The 26,977-nt window shown below is 54.7% G+C and overlaps 1 protein-coding gene and 1 long non-coding RNA gene across 7 annotated transcripts in view, besides 2 other annotated features; one reads left to right on the top strand and one right to left on the bottom strand.

The window, feature by feature from the left end:
• The window catches only part of OGFOD3 (2-oxoglutarate and iron dependent oxygenase domain containing 3), a 29,377-nt gene extending 2,716 nt beyond the window's left edge, over positions 1–26,661 (top strand). The window contains exons 2-11 of one of the 5 annotated variants that reach the window (XR_007065458.1): positions 244–473; positions 4,341–4,416; positions 6,461–6,503; positions 9,389–9,453; positions 10,491–10,547; positions 11,781–11,934; positions 17,552–17,675; positions 23,337–23,490; positions 23,777–23,929; positions 24,029–26,661. Coding sequence is in view for 3 of the 5 variants with exons in the window: in NM_175902.5 (NP_787098.3) it covers positions 244–473; positions 4,341–4,416; positions 6,461–6,503; positions 9,389–9,453; positions 10,491–10,547; positions 11,781–11,934; positions 17,552–17,675; positions 21,328–21,500 (922 nt within the window). In the remaining 2 variants the exon portion in view is untranslated. Of the gene's footprint in view, positions 1–243; positions 474–4,340; positions 4,417–6,460; positions 6,504–9,388; positions 9,454–10,490; positions 10,548–11,780; positions 11,935–17,551; positions 17,676–21,327; positions 21,541–23,336 lie in introns of all 5 variants that reach the window. The other 4 variants (NR_033265.2, XM_047436759.1, NM_175902.5 and 1 more) reach the window with 4 other exon arrangements.
• Positions 14,937–15,136: an enhancer, noted in NCBI's record as "active region_13007". NCBI's record gives its function as "activates an Ori minimal core promoter by ATAC-STARR-seq in GM12878 lymphoblastoid cells {active_cell/tissue: GM12878}" and the evidence as "EXISTENCE:reporter gene assay evidence [ECO:0000049][PMID:35858748]".
• Positions 15,867–16,473: an enhancer, noted in NCBI's record as "H3K4me1 hESC enhancer chr17:80357274-80357880 (GRCh37/hg19 assembly coordinates)". NCBI's record gives its function as "activates a minimal SCP1, AML or CMV promoter by ChIP-STARR-seq in primed H9 embryonic stem cells {active_cell/tissue: H9 hESC(primed)}" and the evidence as "EXISTENCE:reporter gene assay evidence [ECO:0000049][PMID:30033119]".
• On the bottom strand, positions 16,398–18,990 carry LOC124904090 (uncharacterized). Of its 2 annotated transcripts, XR_007065956.1 has the most exons (3): positions 18,582–18,990; positions 18,110–18,283; positions 16,398–17,850 (listed from the first exon to the last, which is right to left on the bottom strand). It is a non-coding gene; the product is annotated as an uncharacterized LOC124904090 (long non-coding RNA). The 2 variants fall into 2 exon arrangements; XR_007065955.1 differs by having other exon boundaries at positions 16,398–18,283.
• Positions 26,662–26,977: the final 316 nt, after the last annotated feature.

The raw sequence follows: 26,977 nt of genomic DNA, 5'->3' as shown, positions 1-26,977 counted from the left end.
CAATATTTCTCAAACTCCCGGGCTCAGAAGGCAGTTAGTGTGTATTGGAGATCCCTGAAGGGAAAGGGAGGGAAGAGTCCGTGTTTCCTGAGTGGACAGCGCTGGCCCCAGGCAGGAAGCCCTCGTTTCAGGGGTGACGTGTGAGTGAAGGCCGGGTCATGGTGCATGCACTTTGATGATCGGGGAGCGTTTTCTCTGGCCTCACTCCGTGTTTGGGTGACGTGGCCTGTTTTCTGTTCTCAGCACCAAGAAGGACCGAGCCCCGCGGGAGGTGCAGAGGCTGTGGCAGAGGCCGTGGCTAAGGACCGCGGGCCTGGGGGCTGGCTTTGTGCTCACCGCACTCCTGCTCTGGAGCAGCTTGGGGGCCGACGACGGGGTCGCAGAGGTCCTGGCCCGCCGTGGCGAGGTCGTGGCAGGGAGATTCATCGAGGTGCCCTGCTCTGAGGACTACGACAGTCACCGCAGGTTCGAAGGTAGTTCAGGAAAGCAACACTTTAAAATGAGACTCAGTGTGGTTAAAGGACATTGGCTGCGACGAAGGGGTGGGAATTGGGTTGGATGTGGTATGCTTGGGGGTAGCAGACAACCTCTCCCCTCCTGCAGGCTGGCTAGTCCACGTCTGACTGGGAGTGCAGGTGTTTCGCGCCCTGCCCATCACTGCCCGGCCACGGTTGGCGTTTTAGTAAGCTGTGCGGTCCAGCGGAGGAGATGGTTTGCCTTGGAAAGATAGGGATGAGAAAGTCAAAACCAGAAAGATTTTTTGACTGGAGAATGTGGTAGAGTCAGAGAATGTTGGGGAAAATGTAACAAGAAACGACCAGCAGCCCTTCTGCCGTCCTGTGCCCCAGCTCCCCTCCCCCGCTCCCGTTCTGCCTGGGCCTGAGAGATGCGGGAGGTGGTGGTTCCAGGGCAGCCCAGAGCCTGGAGCAGCGCTGCGGTTGGCCGGGCCGGGGTTCAGCACCTTGGAGAGCGCACGGCCTCGGAGCAGGTCTGACCGGGCCGGCCACCGCACACCCCCTGTAGGCCTCCTGTCGCTTCTGTTTTCTTGAACATTCCATGCCACCTGGATATATTCTTAGTTTTAAAAGTCCAGCATGCGCCGCTGGGTTTTTGAGGCAGAATTCAGGTTTTAAAAATTCAATTCAATGCTTTGCACTTGAACCAAGAAAAGATTGCCAAGTTCTTCCACAAAGGGGCGCCGTTGTGACGCACGTGAACGTGGTCCCAGCCGCGCCGCAGGGAGGGACGGGACCGCCTCGGAGTCAAGAAAATGAACGTGTTTCTGTTGTGTGTTGTTGTGGGTGCTCTCTCTTTCTTAGCAGAAGTTCTCTCTCTAACATCCCAGCTTTCCAAAACTCTTTTTTGAATGCTAGCACGGAGCAGAAATTTTTCATGTTATCATTAATAATTTATCGACATTAAAAATAGTTTCAATGGCCTGGAGCAGTGGCTCATCCTCAATCCCAGCACTTTGGGAGGCCCAGGCAGGAGGATCGCTTGAGGCCAAGAGTTCAAGACCAGACTGGGAAACACAGTGAGACCCCATCTCTACAAAATAAAAAATGGGCCAGGTGTGGTGGTGCACGCCTGTAACCCCAGCTCAGGAGGCAGAGGTGGAAGAATCACTTGAACCCAGGAGGTTGGGAGGTAAGGAGGTCAGGGCTGCAGTGAACCTAGAGTGTGCCACCGCACTCCAGCCTGGGTGACAGAGCGAGATCCTGACCCCCCGCCAAAAAAGAAAAAAGTTGGAATGAGGGAGGGAGGATGGAAGTCCATGTTTAATAGATTTGGGATTTCACCTGTGGGAGGTGGAAAAGTTCTGGAGGTGGTGCTAGTGACGGCTGCACGATGCTATTGTGCCCGATGCCACCACACTGCGCACTTTTTAAAAAGCTTGGCTAAAATGGTAAATTCTATCTTGTATATATTTTACAATAAAACAAATGGTTTGATGTATTTTCTTTTTCTTTCTTTCTTCTTTTTTTTTTTTTTGGACAGAGTGTCACTCACTGTGTTGCCCAGGCTGGAGTGCAGTGGCATGATCTCGGCTCACTGCAACCTCCGCCAGGCCTCTTGGGTTCAAGTGATTCTCCTGCCTCAGCCTCCTGAGTAGCTGGGACTACAGGCACCTGCCACCATGTCTGGCTAATTTTTGTAATTTTAGTAGAGACGGTGTTTTGCCTATGTTGCCCAGGCTGATCTCAAACTGCTGACCTCAGGTGATCCACCTGCCTTGGCCTCCTAAGGCCCTGGGGTTACAGGCATGAGCCACTGCGCCTGGCCTCTAATTTTTATTATTATTGTTTTTTAACTCATGAATTACTTGGAAATTTAAAAGATTTGGAAATGCGTGGGATTTTTGGTCCCTTTTCACAACGTTGTGGGTATTTCTCCTGACCCACGCTCGTGTGCACAAATTCTCATCACCAGTTTCTGTCTCCTTCACCCACCGGCTATGGAAAGGGGCGTCAGAACCTCCACTGAGCATGGACCCAGCAGCGTCTGTGCTTTGGTTGCCACGTGTGTCATGGGGCGATGCTGTCTGCTGTCTGCTGCCCCTTCCCCTTCCTGCCGAGTCGCTCCTGTGCCGCGGGGGACCCTCTCTTCCCTCTAGTGATTCTCTTTGCTAGTACAGAGGCTGCGCCACGGGCCTGTGTGGCTCTCATTGCATTTGCTGTTTGCTTTCCGCTTTCCTGTGTCCTCGCGTTTTGTGGGGTAAACCTTATAAAAAAGCATAAAATGACTTTTTGTTTTTGAAATACAACACCTATGTCCATTAGATCATTTAACCACAGTAACTACAGCCCCCCTTCCCTGATATTCAGCCAAGTGGAGCTCTGTTTATCTCCTGGCACAAGGCCCAGAGAAAGGAACCAAGGTCATCTCGGTGCCTTGTGATCCCTGGGTCCAAGCCCCTGATGCTGGCACTCAGCACTGAGTGCGAGGCTTTTATTCCCATGGTCCCGGGAGGGATGCTCCACGTCCAGGCTCAGGGCTGGCTTTTTAGGCAGGATGTAGGGAGAGGGAGGAAAAGCATATTGTGGAGTCCCGGTTTGCCCCATGTCCTGGTGCTTGTGGGCTGCTGTCTGATCGATCAGGCATGGCCTGACGCCTTTCCAGCGCATGAAGCCAGCTGCACTTGGTACCAAACCACAGGGGCGGGTCCCTGGGCCCCTCTCCGACACTCTGCTGTACCTTGTGCATCTGTGCGATGCTGCCTCGACCACCCTGCCCCTGCCCTGACCACCCTGCCCCAAACACCCTAACCCTGTCTGACCACCCTGCCCCTGCCCCAAACACCCTGCCCCTGCCCTGTCCACCTTTCCTCTGCCCAATGACCCTGACTCCTGTCCACTCTGATCCTGTCCCAACGACACTGCCGCTGCCCCAAACGACCTTGCCCCTGCCCCGATAACCATGCCCCTGCCCCGATAACCATGCCCCTGCCCCGATAACCATGCCCCTGCCCCGATAACCATGCCCCTGCCCCGATAACCATGCCCCTGCCCCGATAACCATGCCCCTGCCCCGATAACCATGCCCCTGCCCCGACCGTGTTGCTCCTGTCCCAACGACCCTGCCCCTGCCCCGACCACCCTGACCCCCATTTGAGCTGCTGCTTCCTCTTCCCTCTCAGCCTCCGCAGGTCACCAAGGTACGGGGAGAGACAGGGGCATGTGCGGAGCAGTTCGCTGTGCCCTGGGGAAGGACTGGGACTAGACCCACAAGCTCCACTCTGGTGGTCTCAGGAGGGTTTTCTGCTCCAGTGGTCTCAGGAGGGTTTTCCTCTCTGGCGGTCTCAGGAGGGTTTTCTGCGCCAGTGGTCCCAGGAGGGTCTTCCTCTCTGGTGGTCTCAGGAGGGTTTTCTGCTCTGGTGGTCTCAGGAGGGTTCCCCCCTCTGGTGGCCTCAGGAGGGTTTTCCTCCCTGGTGGTCTCAGGAGGGTTTTCCTCTCTGGCGGTCTCAGGAGGGTTTTCTGCTCTGGTGGTCTCAGAAGGGTTTTCTGACGGTGCCTGTGGGTGTCTGGACCTGCAGTCAGTGATGGTTCAGGAATGCTGTTGACGCCGTGTCTGGGGTTTCTGTGACTTTCCCAGGGTTTGGGGCAGCAACAGGTGCCTCTGGATTAAATTTCCAGTTGGAGCCACTGGAAGCCAAGGTGGCCCAGTGAGACGTGAACTCCAGATGCACCGCACAAAGCGCATGCACGCTGGAGAGCTGTGGTTGTGTGTGTCTGAAATTCACATTTGACCGGGCGTATTAGCCAGTTCTGGCCCTGATTCCCTGGAAGGGCATGCGCCGGTGGCCTTGGAAACTGCGTCTCACCCTGGCTGTCCCTTCACAGGCTGCACTCCCCGAAAGTGCGGCAGAGGTGTCACCGATGTCGTCATCACCAGGGAGGAAGCGGAGCGGATTCGCAGGTAACCGCCTGTCCCTGAGCACGGTGGGATTCAAACAAACACACGCGGAGTGGGGCTAGGGCGGGAAGCAGAGCATTGTTAGTAATAAAGTGGTTTTAAGGATTTTATTGCCAGGCGTGGTGGCTCACGCCTGTAATCCCAGCACTTGGGGAGGCTGAGGCGGGCAGATTGCCTGAGTTCAGGAGTTCGAGACCAGCCTGGGCAACATGGTGAAACCCTGTCTCTACTAAAATACAATAAATTAGCTGGGTGTGGTGGCATGTGCCTGTAGTCCCAGCTACTCAGGAGGCTGAGGCAGGAGAATCGCTGGAACCCGGGAGGCAGAGGTTGCAGTGAGCCAAGACTGCACCACTGCACTCCATCCTGGGCGACAGAGCGAGATTCTATCTCCAAAAAAAAAAAAAAGATTTTATTATAATTTTATAAGAATTTCCAGGCTGGGTGCGGTGGCTCATGCCTGTAATCCTAGCACTTGGGGAGGCCAAGGCGGGTGGATTGCCTGAGCTCAGGAGATCGACACCAGCCTGGGCAACATGGTGAAACCCCTGTCTCTACTAAAATATGAAAAATTAGCCGAGTGTGATGGCACACTCCTGTAATCCCAGCTACTCAGGAGGCTGAGACAGGAGAATTGCTTGAACCTGGGAGGCAGGGATTGCAGTGAGCCGAGATTGAGCCATTGCATTCCAGCCTGGGTGACAGAGTGAGACTCCATCTCAAAAAAAAAAAAAAAAAAAAAAAAAAGAATTATGTGCTTTCAAGGGCCAAGCTCAGATTTTCCGATTTCAGGAGAGGAGACCATGGCCCTCAGCGAAGCAGTAGCTGGGAGAGTACCCAGAGGCCCAGGTTCCTCTGCAGGGGTTGTGGCCGCCTCTGGGGGCTGCTGCTGAGTGCCCCATGCTCCCCACGGAGCCTCCGGGACACTGCTCAATGACCGCTCAGTGTCTGCTCTGAAACTGCCTCCAGGGAGCCCGTCAGCCCACCTGGCTATGACTTGTGGCAGCACAGGATGCCACTCAGAGGCTACTGGTGCTGGACTTTTCTTACTGAGATCTTAAAAGAAAGTTTTGATTTTCCAACCACTTGTTGAGACGATAAGCATGTGGAATGGTGTGCAGCCCTGGGCCACGTGCCCTGCCCTGAGATTCTCCCCAGGGAGCCTGCCCCCGAGGATGCTGCCTAGCTCCACGCAGGGTTACTGCTGCCTAGCTCCAGTGGGGTTACTGCTGTCTGACTGAGGCACCGGCGTGTCCCCACTTGGTGTCCACAGGCAGCTCCCAGCACCTGTGGCAGCTCAGGGTGGTCCTCTGTGGTCCAGCACAGCTGGCGTGTGGGTGTCTTTCTCCCACCATGGTCAGGGCCCCTATCTCCTGAGCTGGTGAATCTCAAAGCTTCCCCCACCTGCCTGGGGTTCCAGGAGAGATGGGGAGCAGTGGGCCCTCCCCTAGATGCTCCCCAGGCTCCTGAGCTTGGCCCAGGTGGCTTTCGATATTGAAGATGAGAGATTAAGCCCAGCCCTCCCTTTCTCTCTCTCTCTCTCTCTCTCTTTTTCTTTCTTTCTTGACAGAGTCTTGCTTTGTTGTCCAGGCTGGAGTGCAGTGGCGCGATCTCGGCTCACTGCAACCTCTGCCTTCTGGGTTCAAGCGATTCTCCTGGCTCAGCCTCCAGAGTAGCTGGGATTACAGGCACCTGCCATCACAGCTGGCTAATTTTTGTATTTTTAGTTGAGACGAGGTTTCACCATGTTGGCCAGGCTGGTCTGGAACTCCTGACCTCGTGATCCACCCGCCTTGGCCTCCCAAGGTGCTGAAGCCCAGTCGTTTCTAAGCTGAGTCAAATATTGACAAGACAACGATGGCAGTATTGTCGCTTACGCACTGAACTTTGAAAGTTGAGTCCTTTGGTCTAAACATTTGTTTACATCATAAACATTAAACACGCAGGACCCACTAATGTTGCATTAATTTTGCTGATTGACGTTTGCCTAGATTATACATTATAGACAATTCTAGCAACGAAATTCTGAATTATTTTCTCCCTGCAGCGTAGCTGAAAAGGGGCTCTCCCTGGGAGGATCTGACGGAGGGGTGAGTTGAATGTAGTCCCTGCCCCCCTTTTTTTACCCGTTAACTTTGCTCTCACTTGGATGGGAAGGGGAAGGCACAGACATGCAGGGTTCCCTGCGTGCCCCCAAATGTGGGTGGGGCCTGCCGTGGTGTTTCTCAGCACCAGCCGCAGCAGCTGCGCCTGACTGAAACCCGTGCGGCGTCCCCTCGTTGGGAAGAGTGTGTCCTTAGATGTGCGTGGCCATCTATTCATGGCATGTCACGGCCTGCCTGGCTCCAGTTCACACTGGGGGATAGAGGGGGTCGGAAGCAGGGAGCCGGCAAGGGAGCGGGGTGGGAGCCCAGCGAGGAGACGGCTGCGCATGCTGGACACAGGAGAGCCCGTGGAGCTGCCGGGAAACAGCAGGGCCTCCGTGGGACAGACACGCTGCAACGCATCCTGCAACTTCCTAGCTGGACGCCTCCATGGACGCCCTGTGGGGCTGTCGTCCCATGTGAGGCTGCAGGGGGTCAGCTAGTGGCCTCGGATAATGTGTTCACCTGGAGCCCGTGGACATGATCTGATTTGGAAAAGGGACCTTTGCAGATGTAATTAACTTAAGGATCTCAAGATGACATCATCCCAGATTTAGGGTCCTAAATCCAATGGCAAGTGCCTATAGGAGACAGAGGCAGGGGGAGATTTGAGAGGGAGGAGGAAAAGGTCCTGTGATGATGGAGGCAGAGATGGGAGCAGTGCGGCCATGGAAGAGGCGGGCAGGACCTCCCCTGGAGCCCTGGGAGGGAGCAGGGCCCCTCCCACACCTCGATTTTAGACTCCTGGGCTCTAGAACTGTGAGAGAATAAACTTGTGTTGTTTTAAAGCCCCAGTTTGTGTTACCACAGCCGCAGGGATCATGGAGCCACCGCCGGCTGTGGCCTCGCCCTCCTGTTGGGCAGTGGCTGGGAGTCAGTCTGGTGCAGCTGGTGTTAGCTCCAATTCCCATGCGGTTTCCTCAGGGTTGTTTTCTTGCTCGGTGTGTGGAATTGTCTGAAGATCTGTTTCTCTCTGTTTATTTGGTGATCGCTTTGAATTATAATCACTGAATAGACTTGAGTCTTTCTGCATATTTGAAACTTCTAGAAAATTAATTTATAGACTCTTTGAGAATTTCAAAGTATTTCTGTGATGGTCTGTGTGACTTTTTTCTGCAAACTCTTTTCTCTTGAGTTCTGAAAATTAAGTTCCTTTTTTTCTTCTTTTTTTGAGACAGAGTCTCGCTCTGTTGCCCAGGCTGGAGTGCAATGGGGCGATCTCCACTCACTGCAACCTCCAACTCCTGGGTTCAAGCCATTCTTCTGCCTTAGCCTCCTGAGTAGCTGGGACTACAGGCATGTGCCATGATGCCCGGCTAATTTTTGCATTTTAAATAGAGATGAGGTTTCACCATGTTGGCCAGGCTGGTCTTGAACTCCAGAGCTCAGGTGACCCACCTGCCTTGACCCCCCAAAGTGCTGGGATTACAGGTGTGAACCACCGTGCCCGGCCTAAGTTCCTCCCTTTATTTCAGTTTGGTTTGGTTCAGTTCGGGGGCTATTTGTTAAAGATCTGTGAGTGAGTAGGTTTCTGTTTCACAGCTCCTCCACGTTCACATGGGAAGTTGTCCTGCATGGAGCTGGCTGGGCCGCTGCTTTGGGTTCAGTTACTGTTCAGCGGGCCCAAGCTAGGTTAGTGCCGCAGGGCCAGTGGCTGTGGCGATGAGGAAGGGGCAGCAGTGGGGCTCCTCTGGGGTCACAGGTGGGATGACTAACGTGGGCTGGAAGCCTCTTCCTCTGAGGACGTAGGGAAGGACTGAGAGGTGGGTGGTCGGGCAGGAAACACTTCAGCAGTGGCTTACAAAGTGATGACTCAGGCTTGGCGTGGCGCGCACTGTGGTGCCAGCCGCCCAGGAGGCCAAGGTGGGAGCACCGCTGTGAGGCATTTACTCGAGAGAAGTCAACACTTGCCCACAGGGACACATGACTGTGACTGGCACGGAGCTGCACGGAGATGGCTCCAGACTAAAAATAGCCCACACGTGCCACCATTCTTTAGGTCACAGGGAACAAAAGTGTTTGGTCCAGGAAGATTTTTTTTTTTTTTTGAGATGGAGTTTCGCTCTTGTAGCCCAGGCTGGAGTGCAATGGCACGATCTCGGCTCGCTGCAACCTCCGCCTCCCTGATTCAAGTGATTCTCCTGCCTCAGCCTCCCAAGTAGCTGGGATTACAGCTCCTTGGGAGGCTATCTCTGTAGGTGTCCCAGCTACAGCTGGGATTACAGCTCGCCACCATGCCCAGCTAATTTTGTATTTTTAGTAGACATGGGGTTTCACCATGTTAGCCAGGCTGGTTTTGAACTCCTGGCCTCAAGCAATCCACCTGTCTCAGCCTCCCAAAGTGCTGGGATTGCAGGTGTGAGCCACCACGTCTGGCCGGTCTGGGAGGATTTTAAGAAAGTCCTGGGTTGAGGCTGGGTGCAGTGGCTAATGCCTGTAATCCCAGTACTTTGGGAGGCTGAGGTGGGAGGATCACTTGAGCCCCGGAGTTCGAGACCAGCCTAGGTAATATAGTGAGACCACATCTCTACAAAAAATAGAAAAATTAGCCAGGTGTGGTGGCGAGCGCCTTTACTTGGGAGGCAGAGGGTGGGAGGATTGTTTGGCCTGGAGCCTGGAATATTGAGGCTGCAATGAGCTGAGATTGTGCCACTGCGCCCTAGCCTGGGCAACAGAATAAGATCCTTTTTACAAAAAACAAAAACAAAAACAAAAAAACACCTGAGGTGTGTGCTGGCCAGACCTTGGAAACTCGCATTTACCATCCATGACTTTTAACAGCCATTGCCATTGCTGCGGCTGCACGCTTTACTCCACAACGTCTTTTCCAGGCATCCATTCTGGACTTGCACTCAGGGGCCCTGTCTGTCGGGAAGCACTTTGTGAACCTGTACAGGTGAGTGCTGCAGCATGACCTCAGTGCTGGCTCTGAAAGCCGAGTGAGCGGCTCCGTGCCTCTTAGCCATGGACATGTGGACACGTGGACATGTGAGGGAGGATCCGGCTCGGTGCAGCCTCAGGGCCTCAGTGGCTGTGATGTTGGCCGGGTCCTTCCTGGTTCTTTGGGACGCAAGAGCTGGGAGGTGTGGACTCTCCACAGCCTGTGGGCAGGGGGCTTGTTCATGAAGCTTTAGGGGAATCTGGTGTTTTTGTGGGCCCAGGGACAGAAGGGATGGGAGCAAGAGGCAGCAGAGATGGGAGGCTCCCAGGAGCAGCTTCCAAGAATCCAACGGGGCCTTTGACGCTCCATGAGGGGCCGGGAGAGCAAAGAGACCCTCCCTGCGTGGATCCGTGTCAGCCTCATGCATTAGCCCTGGGTCTTGCTCCCGGCTGGCTCCTTGTTTTTATTATTATTATTATTATTTTGAGATGGAATCTTGCTCTGTCGCCTAGGCTGGAGTGCAGTGGCGCAATTTCGACTCATTTGACTCTGCCTCCTGGGTTCAAGCAATTTTCCCATCTCAGCCTCCTGAGTAGCTGGGATTACAGGCACGCACCACCACGCCCAGCTAATTTTTGTATTTTTAGTAGAGATGGGGTTGTGCCATGTTGGCCAGGATGGTCTCGAATTCCTGACCTCAAGTGATCCACCTGCCTCGGCCTCCTGAGTAGCTGGGGTTACAGGCACGCACCACCATGCCCAGCTAATTTTTGTATTTTTAGTAGAGATGGGGTTGTGCCATGTTGGCCAGGATGGTCTCGAATTCCTGACCTCAGGTGATCCACCTGCCTCGGCCTCCCAGAGTGCTGGGATTACAGGCGTGAGCCACTGCGCCCGGCCCGGCTCCTTTATAGCAGTTATCATTGTGGAAATGGAGTTGCTCTGAATGTGTGAGTTGATTTTCAGGGACTTGAGGAATGGCTGAACTGAAAGGAGATGAACAACAGATTAATGAAGTGTTGTGACCTTTGTGAATACTCCTTTTTTCACAGATACTTCGGGGATAAAATACAGAACATCTTCTCAGAGGAGGACTTCCGGTTATACCGGTAAGGAGGAGTGAGGCGGGTGGGGGTTCGCAGGCGGGGTGGCCTGGGGCTGAGGGGTGTGGCAGAGCTGGCCGGTCCGGGGAGGCCCCACGGAGAGGCCCAGGGGCCAGGGCCAGGCCTGCAGAAGTGAGTTCTCATGGAGCAAAGGCCGGGGCAGGCCCAGCGTGGCCAGGATGCGCCCGGGTCGGTGAAACAGATCTGGAATCCTGTGGCTGCATCCTGGTCAGAACCTCTTGTTTTCTGCTGTGTAAAATCAGCCCAGTTTTAAAAATTCTGCCAGATGAGGCTGGGTGCGGTGTCTCATGCCTGTAATCCCAGCACTTTGGGAGGCGAGGCGGGTGGATCACCTGAGGTCAGGAGTTCGAGACCAGCCTAGCCAACATGGTGAAACCCCATCTTTACTAAAAGTACAAAAATTAGTTGGGTGCGGTGGCGGGTGCCTGTAATCCCAGCTACCCCGGAGGCTGAGGCAGGACAATTGCTTAAACCCCGGAGGTGGAGGTTGCAGTGAGCTGAGATTGCACCACTGCACTCCAGCCTGGGTGACAGAACAAGCCTCATCTCAAAAAAAAAAAAAAAAAAGAAAAGAAAAGAAAAAATTCTGCTGGAGGAGCCCAGGTTGAGATGAGGGCAAAGGAGCTAAGAGTCACGCAACCATCCCAGGACACATGAGTGACCCCCCTCGAGCCCCCCACATGGGCCCATGCCCACCCAGACATCCATTTCAGAGCCGCTCTGGCCTGGCACATGGGGTCTTCTGAGCGAGAGTCCCTTTGTCCCCAGTACAGACACCCCATCCACACTTAGCAGGCTCGACACCCACTCCCCTCTCCCCACGTCCACACACCCCGCACACTCACGTTGGGGGACAGCAGCCTCTTCGTTGCTGAATAGGAGGCTGGGCTCCAGGCCCTGCAAGTGAAGCCTGGAGGCTCTGGCATCTGGGGCCTGACTCCACACCAGCCTCCCCAGCGTTGGTCCTGCAGGCCCCCTTCTGCCTCCCCAGTCCTGCTGCTGTGGTCTTGCGCCTGCCTCTGGCTGCTCTGTGCGTGGGCTGTGGGCCGCGTCGTTCCCAGGCGGAGCCGGTATCTGTTCCCGGTGTGCTTGGGAGCCCCCGCCCCGCGGGCCCGGAGCCGTACGAAGGCTGGTTCCTTTCCTGCCACCCACGGGTTGGGACCCACGAGCGTCCCCTCCCGCCTGGGGCTGCGCTGACGGCTATTGTGTCCTCTGCAGGGAGGTGCGGCAGAAGGTCCAGCTCACCATTGCTGAGGCTTTTGGCATCAGCGCATCCTCGCTGCATCTGACCAAGCCCACCTTCTTCTCCCGCATAAACAGCACGGAAGCGCGGACGGCGCACGACGAGTACTGGCATGCGCACGTGGACAAGGTGAGCGCGCCCGTGGGCAGGGTGAGCGTGCCCGTGGACAAGGTGAGCGTGCCCGTGGGCACGGTGAGTGCGCACGTGGGCAGGGTGAGCGCGCTCGTGGACAAGGTGAGCGTGCCCGTGGGCAGGGTGAGTGCGTACGTGGGCAGGGTGAGTACGCACGTGGGCAGGGTGAGCGCGCATGTGGACAGGGTGAGCGCGCATGTGGTCAAGGTGAGGCCTGTTCTCCCGTGGCCTGGGGCTACCTACCACAGGGCTGTCTTTTGCAGCATCCGCCTGCTGTGTGCATGGTGTTAGGATTGATTGGTTGAGACAGAGTCTCGCTCTGTCGCCCAGGATGGAGTGCAGTGGCGCGATTCGGCTCACTGCAACCTCTGCCTCCCGGGTTCAGGCGATTCTCCTGCCTCAGCCTCCCGAGTAGCTGGGACTACAGGCATGCCCCACCAGGCCTCGCTAATTTTTGTATTTTTAGTAGAGACGAGGTTTCACCATGTTGGCCAGGATAGTCTCAAAATCCTGAGCTCAGGCAATCCTCCTTCCTTGGCCCCCCAAAGTGCTGGGATTACAGGTGTGAGCCACCATGCCCGGTGGGTGTAAGCATTTAGATGTCTTCCTCTCTGAGGTTTCAGGGCACACCCTCAATCTCACTGATGGAGTTGGAGAAATAAAATTTCTCATTTGATGGTGACAAGAAGAAGTGGAGAACCCGGCCCACACGGCCTGTGGTTACCCCATTGTTATTTATTAACAGACTGATGCTTAACCTCTTACGGCAGATGGTCTCTGCTCAGCCACTCATGCTCTCTGTGGCCCAGGTCTCTGTGTTGTCTCTGGGAGCCTTCTTTTACCACTTTCTATCTTTCTTTCTTTTATTTCTTTTGAGTTACAGCTTCACTCTGTCACCCAGGCTGGAGTGCAGGTGTGCAGTCATGGCTTACTGCAACTTTGACCTCCCAGGCTCAAGCCATCCTGCTGCCTCAGCCTGGGACTGAGACTATAGCTGGGACCACAGGTGCGTGCCCCGACGCCTGGCTCGTTTTTCTATTTTTGTAGACACAGGGTTTCACTATGCTGCCCAGGCTGGCCTGACCTCCTGGGCTGAAGCAATCCTCCCGCCTCAGCCTCCCAAGGTGCTGGGATTACAGGCGAGAGCCATTACCCATCCCATTTCTTTTCTTTCTTTTTTTTTTTTAAGATGGAGTTTCACTCTTGATGCCCAGGCTGGAGTGCAATGGTGCGATTTCAGCTCACTGCAACCTCCACCTCTTGGGTTCAAGTGATTCTCCTGTCTCAGCCTCCCAAGTAGCTGGGATTACAGGCACATGCCACCACGCTCGGCTAATTTTTGTATTTTTAGTAGAGATGGGGTTTCATTGTATTGGTCAGGCTGCTCTTAAACTCCTGACCTCAGGTGATCTGCCCACCTTGGCCTCCCAAAGTGCTGGGATTACAAGCGTGAGCTACCATGCCCAGCCTTTTCTTTCTTTCTTTCTTTCTTTTTTTTTTTGAGACAGTCTTGTTCTGTTGCCCAGGTTGGAGTGCAGTTGTGTGATCTTGGCTTACTACAACCTCCGCCTCCTGGGTTCAAGCGGTTCTCCTGCCCCAGCCTCCCAAGTAGCTGGGACTACAGGCATGCACCACCACGCCCAGCTAATTTTTGTATTTTTATTAGAGACAGGGTTTCACCATGTTGGCCAGGCAGGCCTCAAACTCCTGACCTCAAGCAATCCACCTGCCTCGGCCTCCCAAAGTGCTGGGATTACAGGTGTGAGCCACCGCACCTGGCCCTTAATAAAAGATTTTAGAAGATAAAAGTAAAGCACGGCTAATACAAAGAATGGTATTATAGCAATTCTTTAAGGGTGATTTTTATGGTGTAGAAGCTGTGAGTTCCCTTCATACAGTCAACCTGGATGGAAGTGGTTGAATGGCACTGTGAGCCCTGGAGCTGAAGCTCAAATAGAAGATTAAAGCCAGAAAGCACATGGCTGGGGAGATTAGGACTCTTGCTGCCCCACCATGCCCGCTGTGACAGAGGAAGGAATGGCAGTTAGATGACCAGCTTTCTGTGCCGTGTGACATTTGTTACTAAATTATTCTTCAAGGGCAGTCTTTGTTTTTTTTTTTTTTTTTTTTGAGATGGAGTCTTGCTCTGCCACCCAGGCTGGAGTGCTGTGGCGCGATCTCAGCTCACTGCAACCTCTGCCTCCCAGGTTCAAGCCATTCTCCTGCCTCAGCCTCCTGAGTAGCTGGGATTACAGGTGCGTGCCACTGCGGCCGGCTAATTTTTGTATTTTTAGTAGAGACGGGGTTTCACCATGTTAGCCAGGCTAGTCTCGAACTCCTGACCTCAGGTGATCCACCTGCCTCTGCCTCCCAAAGTGCACTCTGTGCAGTTTCAGTTGTAATCAGAAGGAGAGAGAGATTGCAGTTATAATCTGCAATCAGCATCTGCCATCTTGGCACTCTGCTACTTGGCATTAAAATGGTAAACCCAGGGCCGGGTGTGGTGGCTCACGCCTGTAATCCCAGCACTTTGGGAGGCTGAAGCGGGTGGATCACGAGGTCACGAGATCGAGACCATCCTGGCTAACACAGTGAAACCCTGTCTCTACTAAAATACAAAAAATTAGCCGGGCGTGGTGGCGGGCGCCTGTAGTCCCAGCTACTCGGGAGGCTGAGGCAGGAGAATGGCATGAACCCAGGAGGTGGAGGTTGCAGTGAGCCGAGATCGCGCCACTGTACTCCAGCCTGGGTGACAGAGCAAGACTCCATCTAAAAAAAAAAAAAAAAAAGGTAAACCCAAGGGAACAGGAACAGTGAAGGAACCCAAGGCCTGGGACTGCCTTCAGTCCTCCTCTCTCCCTCTCGGGCTGCAGTGTCGGGAGCAGCCGGCGCCACCGCTTTGCCGTAACCACTTTAACCACTTCCTTTTTCACGACTGCACGGCACTTACTGGCCTTCCGCCGGCACAGACAGCAGATTCGCCCTGGTCCGGTCGCTCCCGGCTCCTTCCATGGCCCCTGACCGAATTTTGTCTGCTCATCAGGAAACCAAAGTGGCGTCTGAAGATCAGTGTTTTTCTAATTAGCAGAGACTTTACTTCAGTGAAACAGAACTGTTTAGAAACCTGGGTGATTTTCGTGGTGTTCTGTGGGGAGCTATTTTGCTATGACTTCTGGCCAGTGTACTTTATTTTAAATTTAGTTTTGAATAAATCATGCATCAAAATTTGAATATTTGAATAAGTAATGCATCCTACAAGATTTAAAAGTCATATATATATATATGTATATAAATAAAGGCGAACCAGTAACCCCCTCACCTACAGGTAACCACAGTCCTGAGATCTCAGAGTTCCTTCTTGAATTTCTCTGTGTGTATAAAAACGAATGCATAAGAATACCGCATTCTGTCAGTTGTAAAGAATCACATTTAAAACAGTTTTGGCAATTGTTCCTTCTTCCCATTGCATAACATAAGGCAGCTGTGGCTGTCAGATCATGGACCCTGGTATGGTTTCCTTTTTACAGAAGGCAGTGCAGTCCGCACGCGGCTTTGCTCACTTGACGTCTGTCTTACTCTGGTCTCCCCAGAATCAGAGCCTGGCATGGACTTGTGTTTGGGAAGCTTTTAAGGGGGGACTCCGGGGGGCATCTGTGAGGCCTGGAGGGGGCAAAGCCCATGGGAGCTGAGCCCAAGGGGCCTCCTGGCAGCTGGGAGGGGCAGGGGGGAGGGAGCTTGACCCACCGCCCAGGGCACCACCTGAGACTGGGCTTCCTTACAGCGGATTATGTGAGGTGGATATTGGCGGGTCGGACTGGGGGCTGGGCCCCAGCGTGATCCTGCTCTCCTTCCCAGGAGGACTCAGAGGAGGCCACCTTGCCCAGGGGGAGGGCCCGGTGTCTGCCTTCAAGCCTGGGCTCTCTCCACTGCACACGAGGCTCTGTTGTGTGTGATGTACCTAGCTCAGCGCCCGCACAGTGGGTGTCCAGTTCCGCGCTGGTGCGGCTCCATCCCCCTTCCCTCCCCAGAGTGTCTCTTTCCCTCCCTGGTCTGGGTGTGCTTATGACAGCTGAGCTGGGTGAGATGCGCCCTCCCCTTTGCAGCTGGTGTCCTGGCAGCTGCACCTTTCACCCCCAGGGCGTGGCCCCAGCTGGGTTCTGGAATGGAAGCTGAGTGCTGCGACCCCTGAGTGAAGTAAGCCAGTCACGGAGGGACAGATCCTGCCTGATCCCACGTCCGTGGGGACCCTAGAGTCGCCAGGTTCACAGAGACAGAAAGCGGAATGGAGAGGGCAGGACTGGGGGGCGTGGGGAGTCAGTGCTTCCTGGGGACGGAGCTTCGGCCTGGGAGGATGAGATGTTCTGGAGAGGACGGTGCGGTGGCTGCACAACATTGGAAATGTGCTTAACATCACTGAACTGTGCTTAAAAACAGTGAAGACACAGTTAAGCTGGAAAATCTTAGGTTCTGCATTTTATTACAAGTTTTAAAAAGCTTGGGATTGCTCCACTTCTGAAGAAAGGAGAAAAGCGCGTCCACCGCTGCCTCTGGTTCCCACGTGTGGGCAGCGAGGCTGGCACCGGGGGACCATCCCAGCATGCACACCCTGCTGGCTGGCCTGCTGCCCGTAGCCTTTGCTGGAACACGGCTGCTCCAACATCTGAGCTTACAGGAAATCCTGGGCAACAATGCATGAGGCTGGAGACTCTGCAGAGGGTTTTTAAAGTTGCAAAGGAACAAATGGCCTCATTAATGGGGCCGACACATGTTGTTAATTTACCTTCTGGAAAATAAGAAGCACAGATGTTGGTGACTCACGCGCGTAATCCCAGCACCCGGGAGGCTGAGGTGGGAGGATCACTTGGGGCCAGGAGTTTGAGACCAGCCTGGGCATCATAGCGAGACCCGCCCCCCTGCCCCCACCACCCCGCCCCAACCTCTACAAAAAATACAAAAATCAGCCAGGCACAGTGGCTCATGCCTCTAATCCCAGCACCCGGGAGGCCAAAGTGGGTGGACTGATGCCATCTCTACAAAAAAAAAAATAGAAAAGAAAAAATTAGCTGGTTGTAGTGTCGTGCGCCTGTGGTCCTGGCTACCCGGGATGCTGAGGCAGGAGGATTGTTTAAAGCCAGGAGTTCAAGGTTATGGTAAGCAATGACAGTGCTGTGACTGCACTACAGCCTGAGTGATGCTGTCTGTAAAAAAAGCGATACCCTATTAAAAAAAAAAAGAGGCTGGGTTCAGTGGCTCATGCCCGTAATCCCAGCACTTTGGGAGGCCAAGGTGGGTGGATCACCTGAGATCAAGAGTTTGAGACCAACCTGACCAACAAGGTGAAACCCTGTCTCTACTAAAAATACAAAATTAGCTGGGTGTGGTGGTGGGTGCCTGTAGCCCCAGCTACTCGGGAGGCTGAGGCAGGAGAATTGCTTGAACCTGGGAGGCGGAGATTGCAGTGAGCCGAGATCGCATCACTGCACTCCAGCCTGGGTGATGGAGCAAGACTCTGTCTCAAAAAATAAATAAACAAAAAATAAGAGAGAGAAGCAGCACCTGCCCTGGTCGCATGCTGAGAGCCCATTCTGCCCCCTCCTCCCGGCTCTGCCCTCAGGTGACCTACGGCTCCTTCGACTACACCTCGCTGCTGTACCTCTCCAACTACCTGGAGGACTTCGGCGGAGGGCGGTTCATGTTCATGGAGGAGGGTGCCAACAAGACGGTGGAGCCGAGAGCTGGTAGGAGGCGCGGGCGGGGCCTGGGCGTGGGGCTCCTGGCTCAGGCAAGCACGGTGGGTGTGGGGGGCGTGTCCCTGGGAGCGAGGCTGAGTTCACGGAGCATCTGCTGTGTGCCGGGCCGGTGCTGAGTGATTCCCAGGTCTAGCGCCAGTCCCAACACCCAGGAGGCTGGTGTCTACGGGGCCACATGTCTGAGGTCACCGTCAGTCAGCGGCAGAGCCCCCCTCCACGCCCTGGTGTGTGTCACCTTGACAGGCACCATCCATTTCCCTCCCTGGTGTGTGTCACCTTGGCGGTCAGGGTCTCCCTCCCTCCCCTCTGGAGTGCGTTCACCTCTGTACCCTTCTCAAAGAGACTCGCAACCTAAGATTAGACGAGGCCCCAGCCCAGTGTCGGTGACCTAGTGCCCTCCTCGCTGGTGGCTGGAACCTCACCGGGTGGCTCTGCGGTGCCGGCTTCAGAACCCATCACACTGGACCTTGCAGTCCCAGAGTCCCAGAGCCCCAGCCATGCCCAGCCTGCTGCAGACACAGCAGTGCCAGTGAGCATTTGCCGAGCGGACAGTCATCCTCTGCTCCTTGAACTTGTGGGTAACACAAGCCCAGATCCTGGGGTGGGAGGGTGTGGGGAGTGGGGAACCCCTGTTAGGGGCCTCCTCAGGTGGAGCCCACGGCCCTGACCCCAGATGCAGCCGAAACTCGCATAGGCTTGGGAGCCCTGTGGACTGTGCCAGCACCATCCACCCCCCACTGCCTCACCCATCCCCAGGGCACTGCCCTCACCCCCCCCCCCCCGCTGCCTCACCCGTCCCCAGGGCACTGCCCTCACCCCCCACTACCTTACCCGTCCCCAGGACACTGCCCTCACCCCCTGCTGCCTCACCCGTCCCCAGGGCACTGCCCTCACCTGTGGGGTGGCCTCTCAGCACGGGTGTTCCTCCTGCCTGGCCGCTCAGTCAGACCAGGGACTGTGTGACAGTCAGGACTTCTTTCATCTCTTTTAAGATCTCCAGCTTGTTTATTTTGAGATTCCTGTTATTTGTACTTGCCTTTCTCAGGTTAGTTTACGACTTCAGTTTGCAAGCTCAGTTTGAGGGACTCTCTTTCCACGACCACCTGTGGCAGGTGGCCTGAGCTGCCCGGCCACTTCCTGCCATCCTGCCTCCCTCAGCTGCTCCCTGGCCACAGGCTGGACAGTTCCCGCTGTAGCCAGCGGCTGGCCAAGCCCACTCCCTGCAGCCGGCTTCAGGCCGTGTGTGCCGCAGCCCTGGGCACAGTCTCCCCTGGCGTGGATTGGGGGCGTTTGGCCTGACTGTGTCCTGGCCTCACTCTGCCTTCATGTCAGTTGTTCTGAGTCATCTCTGCATTAGGGGAAGGGTTTGGACGTCCAGCCTCTGCAAGCAGGAGCCCAGCCTGTCTGCCCTCACCCCAGAAGTCCCAGTCACAGCAGTTTTGTGGGAAAATGAAAAACTCACAGAGCACAAGACAGGCGTTTTCTTGAGAAGTCAAGCAGCTGAAGCCTCCTGGGACTCGAAATTACACAACTTTTTAGCATATTTTGATCTTAGTCATTTTAAGCATGATAAATACTTGAGTCAAACATTTTGTATTACGATCTTCTTTCAGATAATTAAAACAACCTGTCTCCTGCATGTGTCTGTCTAATTGTATCTATGTGTTTACCTGTGATTTGATGTCATACATGTCTAATTGTATCTATGTGTTTACCTGTGATTTGATGTCATACATCTAATTGTGTGTATCTGTGTGTTTCCCTGTGATTTGATGTCGTACATCTGTCTGATTGTGTGTATCTGTGTGTTTACCTGTGATTTGATGTCGTACATCTAATTGTGTGTATCTATGTGTTTACCTGTGATTTGATGTCGTACATCTGTCTAATTGTGTGTATCTATGTGTTTACCTGCGATTTGATGTCATACATCTGTCTAATTGTGTGTATCTATGTGTTTACCTGCGATTTGATGTCGTACATCTGTCTAATTGTGTGTATCTATGTGTTTACCTGCGATTTGATGTCGTACATCTGTCTAATTGTATCTATGTGTTTCCCTGTGATTTGATGTCATACATCTAATTGTGTGTATCTGTGTTTACCTGTGATGTTGTACATCTGTGTGTTATCTATGTGTTTACCTGTGATTTGATGTCATACATCTAATTGTGTGTATCTATGTGTTTACCTGTGATTTGATGTCATACATCTGTCTAATTGTGTGTATCTGTGTGTTTACGTGATTGATGTCATACATCTAATTGTATCTATGTGTTTACCTGTGATTTGATGTTGTACATCTGTCTAATTGTGTGTATCTATGTGTTTACCTGTGATTTGGAGACTTTTTTTTTTCTTTTGAGACGGAGTCTCGCTCTGTCGCCCAGGCTGGAGTGCAGTGGTGCGATCTCGGCTCACTGCAAGCTCCGCCTCCCGGATTCACGCCATTCTCCTGCCTCAGCCTCCCGAGTAGCTGGGACTACAGGTGCCTACCACCACGCCCGGCTAATTGTTTGTATTTTTAGTAGAGACGGGGTTTCACCGTGTTAGCCAGAATGGTCTCAATCTCCTGACCTCGTGATCCACCCGCCTCGGCCTCCCAAAGTGCTGGGATGACAGGCGTGAGCCACCACGCCCGGCCGTGTCGCAGTTCTTACCATGAGTGGCAAATGCTAGTTTTCTTTGTAGGGCAACTTTATCGAGGAAGGCAGAGTCCTGTGTTCGGGGGTTCCCAAGACCACCTTTAGGTCCAGTGACTCACTGTTGGGACTCACAGAACTCAGCAAAGCCATTATACCCTTGGCTGTAGTTTATTACAGTGAAAAGAAATGGATTAAAATCCACCAAGGGGGCCAGGTGGGGCGGCTCACACCTGTAATCCCAGCACTTGCAAGGCCGAGGCAGGCAGATCGTTTGAGCTCGGGAGTTCAAGACCAGCCTGGCCAAAATGGCAAAACCCCGTCTCTACAAAAAATACAAAAAGCAGCCGGGTGTGGTGGCGTGCACCTATAGTCCCAGCTACTCAGGAGGCTGAGATGGGAGGATTGCTTGAGCCTGGGAGGAGGAGGTTGCAGTGAGCCAAGATCCTACCATTGCATACTGCATTCCAGCCTGAGAAACAGAACCAAACCCTGTCTAAACAAAAACAAAAACAAAAAACAATCCAGCAAGGGGAGAGGCCGTGGGGCAGGTTGAGGAGTGACCAGGTGTGAGCTTCCCACTGTCTTCTCCCGGAGTTGGGTCAACAGCTCTTAGTTCTCCAGCAGTGATGTGTGATGATATTCGGGGGTGTCACTGACCAGGGATGCTCGGCCGAGCCTTGGTGTCCAGGGTTTTTACTGGGGGGCTGGTGGTGCAGGCACGGCTGGCCTCTGTCCCCAGCCCCTCTGGATGCTGAGCTGCTGCTCTGTGGCCCACGTCCCACCATAAGTGACACTGTCAGTGTGGACCATCTGGTGTGGCCCTAGGTCCCTGGTAAACAGAGGTTCTCCTATCAGGCAGGATGTTCTGAGGGCTCAGAGGTCCCCCCTGGGAGCCGGGGCAAAGGCCAGGCCTCTCTCTGGAGGGTGTAGGGTGTGCACCGCCCAGGCCCCTGGAGTCAACCCTTTACCACACAATCCCTGTCCTGTGTCCCCAGGATGTTTTTGTTTCCGGATGATGTCTTGTGGGTTCCAAGAAGTTAATGGACCGAGAGCCAGTGAAGCTGCTGGTGCGAAGGCTGGAGTCAGGTGTCCTCCGGGGACTCACCACCCGCCCGAGAGGGGAGAGACACATGCGATTCTGGAAGCTGAGAGCATTGCTTATTGTTGATTCCTTGGTTGCCGTGCTGAGTCCTGCTTTAAGGAAGCAGGTGATAATCTAATAGTCATTTACTAAAGAAAGTGCATCTTAGGCCGGGCGTGGTGGCTCACGCCTGTAATCCCAGCACTTTGGGAGGCCAAGACGGGCGGGTCATGAGGTCAGGAGATCGAGACCATCCTGGCTAACACGGTGAAACTACATCTCTACTAAAAGTACAAAAAAATTAGCTGGGCGTGGTGGCGGGCGCCTGTAGTCCCAGCTACTAGGGAGGCTGAGGCAGGAGAACGGCGTGAACCCAGGAGGCAGAGCTTGCAGTGAGCCAAGATCATGCCGCTGCAGTCCAGCCTGGGCAACAGAGCGAGACTGTCTAAAAAAAAAAAAAAAAAAAAAGTCCTTTTCTGGCCCCGTATTGATCTCATCTCCGTCTGAGCCTTCAGTAGTGTGGATGGTGGGTGGTTTCCTGCCTCCCACAGCTCACGAGGCTCAGCTGTCCTCCATCCTTCCCCCTGTCCTTTGGTGCCTCTGTTTGCAAGATGTGCAGAAACACCAGAGGGCCAGAGGAGACCCTCCTTTTACTGAATGCTGGCAGCCTCCTGAGAACCACGTCTGCCAGCAGTAGAGAGCAGAGAGTGTGGACGAGCATGGGCGACTGAGGTCCCAAATGGCGCGAGCCGCTGGGCCCTCCTGCTTGTGCCGATGTCTCAGCCTCGATTGAAGCTGGAAGAAACCAAGGACAATGTGTCCTTTAAAAGTGTAAGGTTAGAAGGTGCCCTGACTCCAGCCGACCTGGAAAAGGACGTGTCCTGCATATCTGGAGGTGGCCCACACGGTCCGGGAAAGATCGGCTGCCTTGCCTGCATCCCAGGGCGCTTCCCGGCCTCCATTAAGAGGTGACCATTGCATCCACGTGATTTCTTTTGCTCCACTATTTCCAGGCACAGTGCAACTGACTCCCTCTTGAAGCTAGAATGCCCTGCACACCCGGGATGGACTTCTCTCCCCTTTCAAAGATCGAGTGAAGTTTGCAAATGTGAAAGGAAGGAATTGCATTTCCAGTGGTAACCTTTGAAGGGGAATGAAATTGTCACAGGACGTCAGGAGCCACGTGGGGGAGCCCGGTGTCCTCTGAGTCTCAACGCCCCTTGCTTCCCACTTGGTGACGGTCGATGGCTGTGTCCAGCGGTGAACGCTTTACCACAGGACTCTACGGTGGGGTAGGCAGCGCCACTTCAATGTGAAGACAAATGAACTGGCGTCTCTTGAGATAGGCCCCTGCCTCCAGGACCTCTCAGGCCCCGGGCCCTGGTTACTGCCGTGGAAGCTGCCTGTTCAGACGTCATCTCTATCACCCCTTGAAGGGAGACAGAGAGGTGTTTGCGAGTTGGATGTTTTATCTTGTCTTTCCTGATTCTTTGTTAGAACACCCCCAGGGCTTGGTTTTTGTTCTCAACCTGTGATTAGAAATAAGATCCTAAAGTGTCAGATCTGGAAGGCCCATGAGAGCTGAGGAGATCAAATGCCCGGAGCTCGGGAGATCAGATGACCTGGGGTGTCTGGAGCCAGTGGTGGCCTCATCTGCAGCATCTTCCTCTGTCCTGCCCACCACAGAGTCCCTGCTGGCCCCGGGGGGCCCCTCCTCCGCCACAGGGCCCCTGAGCATTGCTGCGTTTGTTTCTCCAGCTCCTCCTTCCTGCAGAAGCAGTTCCCAGAGGGGCAATTTCTCCAGCCTGCCTGGTTGGTTGTGTTGATTGGTTATAGTTGCTCTTTCAGGTGACCGCAGACCCTCTGAAGGCTGTGGCCGTGGGTGTGGCTCTATGGCCACCTCTCTCTCTTCTCCTCTCCCAGGTCGCGTCTCCTTCTTCACCTCGGGGTCCGAGAACCTACACCGCGTGGAGAAGGTCCACTGGGGCACCCGTTACGCCATCACCATCGCCTTCAGCTGCAACCCCGACCATGGCATCGAGGACCCAGCGTTCCCGTAGCCAGCAGCCGGGCCAAGGTAACTTCAGGAGGGCCCGTGTGGAGGCAGCCGCGCCAGTCGTGCACCCACCCCCACGTCCACCCGCTCCTGTTGCACAGAGTGCCTTAGGAATTCTCTGATTTTGATTTGCTGACGTGTTAATCTTTTCATCTGTGAGTAAATGAAGGGAACCAGCTTTTCACTTCTCCAGCATCATGTGTGCTTGGGCTGTAGGCCTGGGAGCCTGAGGTGGAGGCCAGGAAAGGGACCCAGCAGGACGGGGCACAAGTCCCCATCTGTGAATGGACGGGACTCATCCACCCAGGTTCAGCAACCCCCCGGGACTCGTCCAGGTTCAGCAACCCCCCGGCCCATCAAAGACTGGCTAAAGCATCAGCCATAAATGGGGACAAACGTGGGGCCAGCAGCTTCTGTTCGGGGTCTCGGCATCAGCAAACCGCAGCAGCTTTGGAGAAGGGTCCGTGAGTGGCGGCTCTGGAGGCAGCAACGGGGTCCTTTGGGGTGGGTGGGAGTTCTGCTGGATTCAGGTGGAGGTGAACATCTGCCGTTCCCACAGCCCTGCGTGCACCCCCAATGCTGCTGGCCCACAAATCACCGTGGGCCACGGCCCCACCACACCAGGCTTGGCCCTGTCAGCGGCCAGCATCCCAAGGGCCAGGGTCCGAGTGTCCTCACCAAGGAGGCTCTTGGCGTCGCTGTGCCGGCTCCCATGGGCCTTCTGCTGGGTCGAGGGTAGGTCTCCTCCTCCCCCTTTGCCCTGGCATTAAACTGATGGTCAGGCTGGGCGCGGTGGCTCACACCTGTAATCTCAGCACTGCGGGAGGCCGAGGCAGGAGGATCACTTGAGGTCAGGAGTTCAAGACCAGCCTGGCCAACATGGCGAAACCCTGTCTCTACTAAAAACACAAAAACAAATTAATCCCAGCTACTGGGGAGGCTGAGGCAGGAGAATCGCTTGAACCCAGGGGGCAGAAGTTGCAGTGAGCCGAGATCGTGCCACTACACTCCAGCCTGGGTGACAGAGTGAGACTCCATCTTAAAAATATAAAAATAAAGTGGTGGTCAGAGGAGCCCCGAATAGACCAGTTGTGGAGAGGCCTGGGTGGGGTGGCTGGCAGGGAGGGCAGGCCAAGCCCAGTTTCTGCCCACAGTCACCTCGAGGTGACTGTCCAGGGCTTTGGGCACCTTCCCGGGAGGGGGACGGCCGCCCACCCTGAGTGGTGTTGGAAGCTGGGCTCTCCTGGATGCCCTGACCCAGCTGCCTGGGGAGAGCCCTGGGCCCCTCCTCCCTCAGCACCTCCTCCCTCAGCCCCTCCTGCCTCGGTCCCTCCTCCCTTAGCCTGTCTGGCATAGATCCATGTTCCCTAGCCCCTGGCACAGGTGCCTCTGACTGGAGGAGGCCCCACCTGTGGCCCGGGAGCTGCTCTGGGGGTTGATAAAGGGCAGCATTATTGGGTCCTGGGAAGGAGCGGGCGTGAGGCCAGCTGAGGCATGGTGACCCCTGGGAAGGAGCGGGCGTGAGGCCAGCTGAGGCATGGTGACCCCTGGGAAGGAGCGGGCGTGAGGCCAGCTGAGGCATGGTGACCCCTGGGAAGGAGCGGGCGTGAGGCCAGCTGAGGCATGGTGACCCCTGGGAAGGAGCGGGCGTGAGGCCAGCTGAGGCATGGTGACCCCTGGGTACGGGGGACTTGGGGGCCGCACCTTGGTTTGCCCAGGGCCCCTCCTGCACCACGGGCCACATGCGGAGGACGGCGTGGGATAGGCTCCCTGGGTCCACAGCTTCTGCCCGTGTATGGGGAACCCTCCTTGGTCAGGGCTGCAGGCTCTGGGCAGATGGGGCAGGAACCCTGAGGCTCCCGCGCCCTCCCATGGCCTCTGATGTGGGACACTGGAGCGAGGCACGATTCTGAAGGACTCCATGGATCTGGGAGGATGAGGCCCACCTCCGGTTGGTGGCCAAAGCCGTCCTTGCGGGGCCGGCTGCTTCACGGACACTCTCCGGGTCGGGCTGGTGGGCCCCATCGTGGGTGGGAAGTCGCCTGAGCCTGGGCCGCCCTTGAGCTTCTCCCAGTCTTGACTTTCCAGAGGGTCCGTGGCTGTGGTCATGGTCGGGGCAGGTGGAAAATGCTGCATGGAAACCTGATCCTGTCACCTTGGAGTAAATGATGATGTCGCCGGCTTCTCGCCACGTCTAAAGGATAAATGCATTTGAAGAAAGTGGGTGTTGGGTTTGTTATGGGTTAAAGTGCTTTTGAAATAAGTAAATTATTAGTTTGATTTTCATTCTTGGCTACTTACACTATTCATGATAATCACAGAGATACTTGGACAAAGAAATATATTTGGGCAAAAGCAAGAATTTCCTTCTTTTTTTTTTTGAGACGGAGTCTAACTCTGTCGCCCAGGCTGGAGTGCAGTGGCGCAATCTCGGCTCACTGCAAGGTCCACCTCCTGGGTTCCCACCATTCTCCTGCCTCAACCTCCCGAGTAGCTGGGACTACAGGCGCCCGCCACCATGCCCGGCTAATTTTTTTTGTATTTTTAGTAGAGATGGGATTTCACCGTGTTAGCCAGAATGAAGAATTTCCTTCTGAAGTGGGAACATATGGCTCATGCTGGTAATCCCAGCACTTTGGGAGGCCAAGGTAGGAAGATCACTTGAGCCCAGGAGTTGGAGACCCATCTGTGCAACATAGTGAGACGCTGTCTGTACAAGAAACTTTTAAAAAATGTAGCTGGGCGTGGCAGTGTGCTCCTGTGGTCCCAGCTACTCGGAGCTGAGGCAGGACGACTGCTTGAGCCCAGGAGGTCGAGGCTACAGTGAGCTGTGACGGCTCCACTGCATTCCAGCCTGGGAGACAGCAAGATACTGTCTCAAAAAAAAATTTATCATTGAAGCCTGGGCATTTTAAAAAAATAAAAAGGTGGGAAAATACGTGGGCACAGCAGTGAATCCTCACACCCTGGGCTTTGCCCAAGAAGTGCTCGTGAACCTGATGAAAGTGTCGGGTGTGGCCGACGTGAGGCTGTTCCAGGAGCCACGAGGGGTGATTGGTTCCGCTAGAAGGTTCCAGGGAGGAACTGGAGTCTCAGGTGTGTCCTCTGATGAGTGATCTATTTTTAAGTAAAAGTGTTTCATTAAAGTCAAAGATGATTATTCCTTTCAAAATAAAGAATCTAGGAGGGCGAGTCCTGCTGTCGGGAAGGGAGATGTTTCCTGCTTCCGTCCGTGCTCCTGACCTGGCGGTGGCCCTGTCCCTGCTACCTGCGTGGACAGAGTCTCCAACACGCGGCAGCCACCAGAGCCAGGCCCGAGCGCACAGCCGTGCATTGCGAAAGCAAAGCCGAAACACGAGGTCGCCGTATGTCAGCCTGGGGAGTACAGAGCCCCAAGGCTGGGTTTCTTGAGTTGTGTGGAAAGCTCCGTGTACATGTCCCGAGTTCTCACGAACGAAGGGGAGGAAGCCACGAAAGCAGAGGCCACGACGGTGAAGTGGGTGGGGGG

This window comes from Homo sapiens, chromosome 17, assembly GCF_000001405.40.
Source record: "Homo sapiens chromosome 17, GRCh38.p14 Primary Assembly".
NCBI classification, from domain to species: Eukaryota; Metazoa; Chordata; class Mammalia; order Primates; family Hominidae; genus Homo; species Homo sapiens.
Note: the sequence above shows the minus strand (reverse complement) of the source record. Positions and strands in the feature narration are given on the sequence as shown.